This window comes from Homo sapiens, chromosome 3, assembly GCF_000001405.40.
Source record: "Homo sapiens chromosome 3, GRCh38.p14 Primary Assembly".
Taxonomy (NCBI): Eukaryota; Metazoa; Chordata; class Mammalia; order Primates; family Hominidae; genus Homo; species Homo sapiens.
In genome coordinates this window covers 137,728,270-137,739,248 of record NC_000003.12, presented here as the reverse complement: position 1 = coordinate 137,739,248, position 10,979 = coordinate 137,728,270, and positions in this window count along the sequence as shown.

The window sequence follows — 10,979 nt, the reverse complement described above, 5'->3', positions numbered from 1 at the left end:
TTCTACTAATATTTTGGACATAAGCAAGAACTTTTAAGAGAGAGGGAGTAGAGCACGGTAATTGTGATGTCAAACTGGTTTCAATTTCTCAAGCTTAAAGCAAGTCAGTTAACCTTTCTAGGCCTCAGATTTTTAACTAAAAATATGGACAATAAAATTTCCAACCTGAAGAAATTATGTTCAGTATGATGGATTGAGGAAACACCAAAACCTTTCACTCATACACCAAATTACCACAATGATAATAAATAAAACATAGCCAAGCTTTAAAACAGCAAAGAGGATTGTCTATGTGCTAGAAATGGAGAGTCTTTCTTAATGGAAAAAAAGCAGAACAGAAACCAGATCAGTAAGTAGAGGCTACCATACTGCTGCAAAGGGCTCTGAGCTTTTGTATCTTCCCTGTGAGTCTGAAGCTGTTGCTGTCATGAGACTATCCCATCAAGAGGGGACAGGATATGTAAGTGATCCACACAAAATTGGTAAGTTATCTCAGGAGGATTACCACTGAAAAAGAGAGACAATATGACAGATTGTATTTTATTAGTGGCCATAAAAACATCTCATATTCCATTTTCTCTTCTTCTAATGTGACTTTGACATTCTTCCTACTGAGAGATGGAATTTATAGTCCCACCCATTAAATGTGATTAGGCTTATGGTTATGGCAGAAGTGGTGGCTCTAGGACTTCTAAGGCTGAGCCATAAAAGCAAACACGCCTTTGACCTGGGTCTCTTGGAATGCTTGCTTTTGGACCTAAGCCACCCCATGATGAAGGCCAAGCACCTCACTGTTGAGACCCACATGGAGAAAAAGCCAACATTCCTGATTCTTAGCCTACGCTGAGCTTTCAGCTGACAGCAAACACTAACTTGCCAGTCACATGAGTCTATTTAATCTATTTACTAATAGCCGTTGAAAAAAAGAACCCTCAATTTATGGTCTGAAAAATAGCACATGGAGCTAGCTGAAGAGTGAATCAGTGATTTGAACTGTTAAGCTGAGGAATTCTTCTAGAACATTATATAGAGAATAAAAAATGAAGAATAATAATGAGGGAAATGGCACAATCCTAGCTAACTGAGATGGAGAAACCAACAGAGGGACAACAAGAAGGACCAATATCCATAGATGAATATCCCACAAGTATTCTATGGGTGAAAGCACAAGATTTTGTGGAAAATCCCTAAGCAACTTGAGCTGTCTTCCTGACTACTATGTCAAGCTTCTCCAGGGCACACAATTTAAGCCAAACATCAACCTTGAACATAAACTACACCTTAGTTTTCCACAAAATGTGTTTTATTTTTCCTTTTATAAATTCTATTTCACCTTTGTCATCTGGCAATCAATCAATACATGTTTAATCTTCTTATTCAAGTACATTTCAGCTGTGCTTTTAACTAAACTGAATGTCTCTTTTTATTCTTTGACAAAAGTATAAAAAAAGACAATGAAAAAATGGCAATAGACAAAGAAGTTCAATCATTTTAATAAGAGTTGCAGAAAAGGAAAATAGAGAGAATGGAAGACAGGAAATATTTGGAAAAATAATAAACATTTACCAAAGCTTGGGATGGTCAGAAGTTTTCAGATTTATAGAGCCTACCAAATATAGAGCAGGGTAAATGAAAATAAAACTATACTTAGAAACTTAGAAAGCTAACGGAACTTTAGGCCATTAAAGAAAAACAGGAAGTTTAAGAGAACACAAGTAAAAAAGGCATACCACTGCAATGGTGCAATAATTTGAATGATATCAGATTTTTATTTAACAACATCAAATCCAAGAATACAGTGGAGAAATATCTTCAAAACCCTGATGAAAAACGTTGAAATTATTTTTATACCCAGCCCAACTATAATTCAGTTGTATATATAAATAACTAAATTTTCAGACATTTAGAACTTAGAAATTTTATTAACACAGATCCTCACCAAAAGAACTTCCAAAAGATTTACTCCAAAAAGAAGAAAATTAATTAAATGAGACATTGCATATAAAACATTTGTTATGATGTTAAGTCTGTTTCTTCTCTACTACTAAAAGGGATGGAGAACTGGGTGGAAAATGGCAGATAGAAGGCAGCTCCCAGTTGGGTGAACAGAATAGTGTGTGGAGACTCATATCATGAAATTTTTCTCCAAGAACTACTGCAGGAACATACCAGGAAAACTGAAAGAATTCACAGAGCCTTTAAAAGAAGAAGTGTGCTGCTGCAAACTCCATAAGACAGATGAAAAACTGTGAGTACCCAAAGTGTGAGAAGGGCAAAGTCTGCCACTGAACACACATTCTCACTGGGGAACCTGAAAATCCAGATCATGGGAGAAGGACTTAACTTTACCTAGAGCTAAAATGAATTTAGAGAGCCAAGCAAAATATAGATGTAGAAGAAGCATAAGGAAGAGCCCTATAGTCACTTCTGGAACCCAAGGAAGCTCAGGGAAGGCATTTTTGACTTTATCTCACAGATGTCCTTGGGGAGGGCTGCCAGTGGAACTGGATAAAGCCCACAGGGAGAAGGAAACTTCTAGCTGAACTTTGTAATAATTTCAACCAAATGCCAATTTTCCTGGACAGAATCCAGGACAGAGGGCCATTGGGAAGTGCAGATATGAGCACAAAAGTCATCACAGTCAGGGAGGGGCAAGGGCTGAAAGCCCTGCTTGCTTTCTGAAAGGGGTGGCATGTAGTCTGGGGCTAGATGTCAGCCCTGCTCACAAGCTGCCTGGCTATAAACTTGGTGCTATTGGTGGGGCATGGTGGGAGTGAGACTGGCCTTTCTAGATGCATAGGAGCTGCACGAGGCCTGTCATGGCCAGCTTTCCCCCACTTTCCTGGTGACCTGTATGATGCAGCAGAGGGAGCAATAATCCCCCTGGGATTAAAACTCCATCAGTCTACAAACCAAACTCCCATCCCCCACAGTGGCCTCAGCAAGCCCCATCAAAGGACAGTCTGAACTCAGACATGCCTAACCCTGTCCCTACCTGATGGTCTTTCTCTAACCACCCTGGTAGCTGAAGACAAAAGATAATCTCTTGGCAGCTCTATGGCCCCACCTACCACTTGAGAAATACCTCATCCAGGTGACCCTAGGGCAAGCTTGTATCCTCCCTATACTCCCAAGCTGATGCTCTCTTGAAGGCACCACTTCCTGACTCCAACCAACTCAAAACATTACAACAACTCATAAAGGAACAACCCTGCCCCAAGAAAGGAGAAAACAACAGATAATTCCACTGCCTGTAATTTCCTGGCTAAGCAGAGGTCCTGAGTCTGTCCACATGACAACTTCATGGCCAGCACAACTAGGATTTGAGAAAACCAGTGCACTAAACACAACTACAACAAAGGTCTCACACAAAGTCCACTTCACTCCCCTGTTACCTCCACTGGAGCAGGTACTCTTCACTCTTCTTTTACCTCTACTGGATGAGGTGCTGGTATCCATGGCTGAGAGACCTGAAAACAGACCACATCACAGAACTTTTTGCAGACACTCCCCAATACCAGCCCAGAGCCTGGTAGCTCCACTGGGTAGCTAGTCCCAGAAGAGAAATAAGAATCACTGAACTCTGGCTCTCAGGAACCTCCATCCCTAGAGGAAGGGGGAGAGCACCACCATATCAAGGGAGCACCCTGGTGGGACAAAAGAATCTGAACAGGAGCCCATGAGCCCCAGATATTTCCTCTGACATAGTCTACCTAAATGAGAAGGAGCCAGAAAAGCAATTCTGGTAATATGACAAACAAGGCTCTTTAACACCCCCGAAAGATCACACCAGCTCACCAGCAATGGATCCAAAAACAAAGAAGAAATCTGAAATGCCAGCAAAAGAATTAAGAAGTTTGAATATTAAGCTAATCAAGGAGTCAACAGAGAAAGATGAATACTGATTTAAAGAAATAAAAAAAATGATACAGGATATGGATAGAAAAATCTCCAGAGAAATAGGTAGCATAAATACAAACAACTGCAACTTCTAGAAATGAAGGACACACTTAGAGAAATGCAAAATACACTGAAAAGTTTCAACAATAGAAGTGAACAAGTACAGAAAATAACTTCAGAGCTTGAAGATAAGGCTTTTGAATTAACCCAATGTGACAGAGACAAAGAAAAAAGAATTGAAGAAAATGAACAAAGCCTCCAAGAACTTTGGGATTATGTTAAACGACTAAACCAAAGAATAATTTGTGTTCCCAAGAAGAGAAATCTAAACGTTTGGAAAATATCTTTGATGGAATAATCAAGGAAAACTTCCCTGGCCTTACTAGAGATCTAGACATCCAAATACAAGAAGCTCAAAGAATACCCAGAAAATTAGTTGCAAAAAGATCATGGCCTAGACACATAGTCATCAGGTTATCTACCGTCAAGACAAAGGAAAGAATTTTTCGAGCTGTGAAGCAAAAGCATCAGGTAACCTATAAAGGAAAACCTATCAGATTAACAGCAAATTTCTTAGCATAAACCCTACAAGCTAGAAGGAATAGGGGTCCTATCTTTAGCCTCCTTAAATGAAACAATTATCAGCCAAGAGTTTTGTATTTAGTGAAACTAATCTTCATAAATAAAGGAAAGATGCAGTCTTTTTCAGACAAATAAATGTTAAGAAAACTCGCCACTACCAAGCCAGAAATACAAGAACTGCTAAAGGGAGCTCTAAATCTTGAAACAAAACCTAGAAATATACCAAAATGGAACCTGCTTACAGCAAAACTCCCACAGGACCTATAAAAATATAACATAATGAAAAAAAACTCCAAGGTATTCAGGCCACAACTAGCATGACGAATAGAATAGTACCTCACATCTCAATACTAATGTTGAATGTAAATGGCCTAAATGCTCCACTTAAAAGATATAGAATGGCAGAATGGATAAAAATTCACTGACCAAGTATCCGCTGTCTTCCAGAGACTCACCTAACATACAAGGACTTATACAAACTTAAGATAAAAGGTTGGAAAAAGACATTTCACCCAAATGGACACCAAAAGTGAGCAGGAGTAGCCATTCTTTTTTTTTTTTTTTTTTTTTTTTTGAGACGAAGTCTCACTTTGCCACCAGGCTGGAGTGCAGTGGCATGATCTCAGCTCACTGCAACCTCTGACTCCCTGGTTCAAGTGATTCTCCTGTCTCAGCCTCCTGAGTAGCTGGGATTACAGGTACATGCCACCACGCCTGGCTAATTTTTGTATTTTTAGTAGAGACGGGGTTTCACCATGTTGGCCAGGATGGTCTCGATCTCCTGACCTCATGATCCACCCACTTCAACCTCCCAAAGTGCTGGGATTACAGGTGTGAGCCACTGCACCCGGCCAGGAGTAGCCATTCTTATATCACACAAGACAGAACTTAAAACAACAATAGTAAAAAAAGACAAAGAGGGACATTATATAATAATAAAAGGACTAGTCTAACAGGAAAATATCACAATCCTAAATATAACACCTAACACTGGGGCTCCCAAATTTATAAAACAATTACTACTAGACCTGAGAAATAAGATAGATGGCAATACAGTAATAGTGGGGGACTCCAGTAATCCCCAGACAGCACTAGGCAGGTCATCAAGACAGAAAGTCAACAAAGAAACAATAAACTATACCCTAGAACAAATGGACTTAACAGATATTTACAGAACATTCTACCCCACAAATGCAGAATATACATTGTATTCATCAACACATGGAACATTCTCCAAGATAGACCACATGATAGGCCACAAAACAAGTCTTAATAAATTTAAGAAAATTGAAATTATATCAAGTACTTTCTCAGACACAGTGGGATAAAATTGGAAATCAACTCCAAAGGAACCATCAAAAACATGCAAATACATGGAAATTAAATAACCTCCTCCTGAGTGATCATTGGGTCAACAATGAAATCAAGATGGAGGTTAAAAAATTCTTTGATAATGGTGACAAAACCTATCAAAACCTCTGGGATATAGCGAAAGTGGTGCTAAGGGGAAAGTTCATAGCATTAAAAGCCTACATTAAAAAGTCTGAAAGAGCACAAATAGACAATCTAAGGTCATACTTCAAGGATCTAGAGAAACAAGAACAAATCAAACTCAAACCTAGCAGAAGAAAAGTAATAACAAAGATCAGAGCAGAACTAAATGAAATTGAAACAAAAAAATACAGAAGATACGTGAAACTAAAAGCAGATTCTTTGAAAAGATAAACAAAATTGATAGACCATTAGCAAGATTAACCAACAAGAGAGAAGATCCAAATAAGCTCAATTAGAAATGAAATGGGTGATATTACAACCACAGAAATACAAAAGATTATTCAAGGCTACTATGAACACCTTTACACAAACAAACTAGAAAACCACAGGAGATGGATAAATTCCTGGAAATATACAACTCCCCTATATTAAAATAGGAAGAAATAGAAACTCTGAACAGACCAATAACAAGTAGTGGTATTGAAATGGTAATTAAAAAATTGCCGATAAAAAAAATCCAGGACCACATGGATTCACAGGTGAATTTTATCAGACATTTAAATATTTGGTACCAATCTTGTTGACACTATTTCAAAAGATAGAGAAAGAGAATCCTCCCTAAATCATTCTTTGAAGCCAGTAGCACCCTAATACCAAAACCAGGAAAGGACATAACAAAAAAAGAAAACTACAGACCAATATTCCTGATGAACATAGTTGCAAAAATCTTCAGCAAAATACTAGCTAACCAAATCCAACAGCATATCAAAAAAATACAACATGACCAAATGGGTTTCATACCAAGGATGCAAGGATGGTTTAACATGCACAAGTCAATAAATGTGATACACCACATAAACAGAATTAAAAACAAAAATCACATGATCATCTCAATAGATGCAGAAAATGCATTTGACAAAATCCAGCATTGCTTTATAATTAAAACCCTCAGTAAAATCATCATAGAAGGGACACACCTTAAGGTAATAAAAGCCATCTATGACAAATCCACAGCCAACATTATACTGAATGGGGAAAATTTGAAAGCATTCCCTGTGAGAACTGGAATAAGACAAGGATGCCCACTTTCTCCACCTCTATTCAACATAGTACTGGAAGTCCTAGCCAGAGCAATCAGACAAGAGAAAGAAATAAAGGGCATACAAATCAGTAAAGAAGTCAAACTGTCACTGTTCTTCGAGGATATGATTGTATACCTAGAAAACCCTAAAGACTCCTAGAAAACCCTAAAGACTCCACCAAAAATCCCCCAGAACTAATAGATGAATTCAGTAAAGTTTCAGGATACAAAATCAATGTACACAAATCAGTAGCACTCCTCTACGCCAATAGCGACCAAGATGAGAATGAAATCAAGAACTCAACCCCTTTTATAATAGTTGCAAAGAAAACATTAAATACTTAGGAATATACTAACCAAGGAGGTGAAAGACCTCTACAAGGAAAACTACAAAACACTGCTGAAAGAAATCATAACAAACAAATGAAAACATGGACACAGGAAGGGGAACATCACACACCGGGGCCTGTTGTGGGGTGGGGGGAGTGGGGAGAGATAGCATTAGGAGATAGACCTAATGTTAAATGGCGAGTTAATGGGTGCAGCACAGCAACATGGCACATGTATACATATGTAACAAACCTGCCCGTTGTGCACATGTACCCTAAAACTTAAAGTATAATTTAAAAAAATCTAAATAAAAAAATGAAAACACATCTCATGCTTATGGATGGGTGGATTCAATATAGTGAAAATGACCATATTGCCAAAAGCAATCTACAAATTCAATGCAATTCCCATCAAAATACCATCATAATTCTTCACAGAACTAGAAAAAAATCCTAAAATCCTAAAATACACATAGAACCAAAAAAGAGCCTGCATAGTCAAAACAAAACTAAGCAAAAGAACCCATCGGGGGTATCATATTACCGACTTCAACCTATACTATAAGGCTATAGTCAGCCAAACAGTATAGTGCCAGCATAAAAGTAGGCACATAGAACAATGGAACAGAATAGAGAACCCAAAAATAAAGTCAAATACTTACATCAACTTATCTTCAACAAAGAAAGGTAAAACAAAGTGGGGAAAGGACAACCTATTCAACAAATGGTGCTGAGATAATTATCAAGCCACATGTAGAAGAATGGAACTGGATCCTCATCTCTCACCTTATTCAAAAATCAACTGAAGATGGATAAAAGACTTAAATTTAAGACCTGAAAGAACAAAAATTCTAGAAGATAACATTGGAAAAGCCCTTCTAGACATTGGCTTAGGCAAAGACTTAATGATCAAGAACCCAAAAGCAAATGCAACAAAAACAAAAATAAATAGGTGGGACTTAATTAAACTAAAAAGCTTCTGCACAGCAAAAGAAATAATCAGCAGAGTAAAGAGACAACCCACAGAGTGAGAGAAAATCTTGGCAAACTATGCAGTCAATAAAGGACTATATCCAGAATCTACAAGAAACTCAAATCAGCAAGAAAAAACAAACAAACAAACAATCCTATCAAAAAGTGGGCTCAGAACATGAATAGACAGCCCTCAAAAGATAATACACAAATGGCCAACAAACATATGAAAAAATGCTCAGCTTCACTAACTATCAGGGAAATGCAAATCAATACCACAATGTGATACCACCTTGCTCCTGAGTGTCCATAATTTTTAAAAAAAGATGTTGATATGGATGTAGTGAAAATGGAACACTGTTACACTGTTGGTGGGAATGTAAACTAGTACAATCACTATGGAAAACAGTGTGGAGATTCCTTAAAGAACTCAAAGTAGATCTACCATTTGATCCAGCAATCCCACTACTGGGTATCTACGCAGAGGAAAAGAAGTCATTATATGAAAAAAAAAACTTGCACATTTATGTTTATAGCAGCACAATTAGCAATTGCAAAAATATGAAACCAGCCCAAATGCTTGTCAATCAATTAATGGAAAGAAAAAACCATGGAATACTATTCAGCAATAAAAAGGAACAAAATAATGGTGTTTGCAGCAACATGGATGGAATTAGAGGCCATTATTTTAAGTGAAGTATCTCAGGAATGGAAAACCAAACATTGCATGTTCTCTCTTATGAGTGGGAGCTAAGCTATGAGGATGCAAAAGCATAAGAATGATACAATGGACTTTGGGGACTTGGGGGGAAGGATGGGAGGTGGGTAAGAGATAAAAGGCTTCCTATTGGGTACAGTGTACACTGCCTGGGTGATGGGTGGACCAAAATCTCAGAAATCATCACTAAAGAACTTATCCACGTAAGCAAACACCACCTGTTCTCCGAAAACCTACTGAAATAAAAATAATATAAAACAAAAGAAGCTATGACTGGGGCTGAAACAGGTCAAAGTGAAGATGGTAAGAAAAGGGCCACCCCTACACCACAAAACTGCCTGAGCTTAAAAAGGATTTCAATAAAATTCTCAAAACCAAGTTAAAAATAAAGGACACCATTCTTCTCCTTTTCACCTTAGTCCTGTATTGAATGTGAATGTGATATCTAGCACTGCAGCAGGCATCTTATGACTATGAGGCAACAGCCAGGAAGGAAAGACCAAAAGGACCCCAGAAATGCAGCTCCTGATATTGTTAGTATATTATTTCATCTCCAACAATTCACCTACCTTCTTGTTATGTGAGGAAAATAAATTCCTATTTGTTTAGGTCACTATTGATTGGGCTTACTGCTACTTCACCCAATGCATTCTGAAGGTAATTTTACTTTTCCACTTTTATTTTTAAAGTATGAGGTATTAAGAGTAAATGGGAGGTTAAGTTAAAAATTTCCAGTACTCCAATAAATATTAAGCCCCTTCTTATCCTCCATTCCAGATTGCAAGCTCAAGACACCATGCTACCCTCATTATATTTGCATCTTCATTGCTTAAACAAACAATTCAGTCCAGTTCACTGGATATTTTTTGAATGCCAATTTATAGGCTAGGTTTTCTGCTAATTGTTAACTAGCAGGATATCAATAAATATAGGTTGAATGTGTAGGTGTATAAAAGCTGAAGATAGGTGAGTAAAAATTAATAATGATGGCTGCCTTAAAAAATCAAATTAACAAAGTACCTTTTCTATTTTTTTACAGTGTTAATACAGCTTTTGCAGGGTTCAGAATATGCTTCTTATCATCTTTCACCATCTTCCTTGCTTTTTAAACTGTGAACATTTAATATATAATTTTTAATTCATTCCAAAGAAAGCTATAAGTGGAAGGAAAACATGACCCAGTTTTTGTAAATTCAAACTTATTTCGACAGTTGTGAAACCCTTGAATTCTCAAACAAACAACCAAAAGATAGCATATACATAGGGGAAGATTTGTTGTTGTTGTTGAAATAATTCCTATACAGAAACACAAAATATTATGAGTGTTAGTCTTTGAAGAGGAAGTGTCAGGGAATAGGCAAAGGAAAGGAAAGATGCTGAACACCTAAAAAAACCCTGAAGAATTTTATACACAAGGAAATATCAAAGGAGAGCTAGAGAGCCATACCAATAAAATAGAAATTGATAGATGAATAGATGAGGCTATTAAAAAGGATTTGTAGAGGCTCCAGGGAATGCAATAATTTGGTCAAGTAGAGAAGTTATACAATATATTTCACATTAAAATCATCTGGAAATAAAAAAAACAGAACTAGCATCAAATTTTGTATAGTAAAAGGACCATGTGTTTAAAGCAAGGGTCTGTCTGGGGAAGAGGAAACCAGTCAACATTTGATCTCTGATTGGCAAGTAGCAAAAGATTCAGAAAGTTAGCTACCCAACAATATAAGAAAAAATCAATTAATCAAAAGGGAAACAGGAAGAGCAGAAGTTTATGATCCCACTGACAGATGAACTGCCTTGAGAGCAGAAAAACCAAAACATATGCCAAATGAATATTTAGGTGAGAAATGACCACGGGCATCTGGTGTATGGGCAGACTCCTGAGCCTATGGTGAGACCA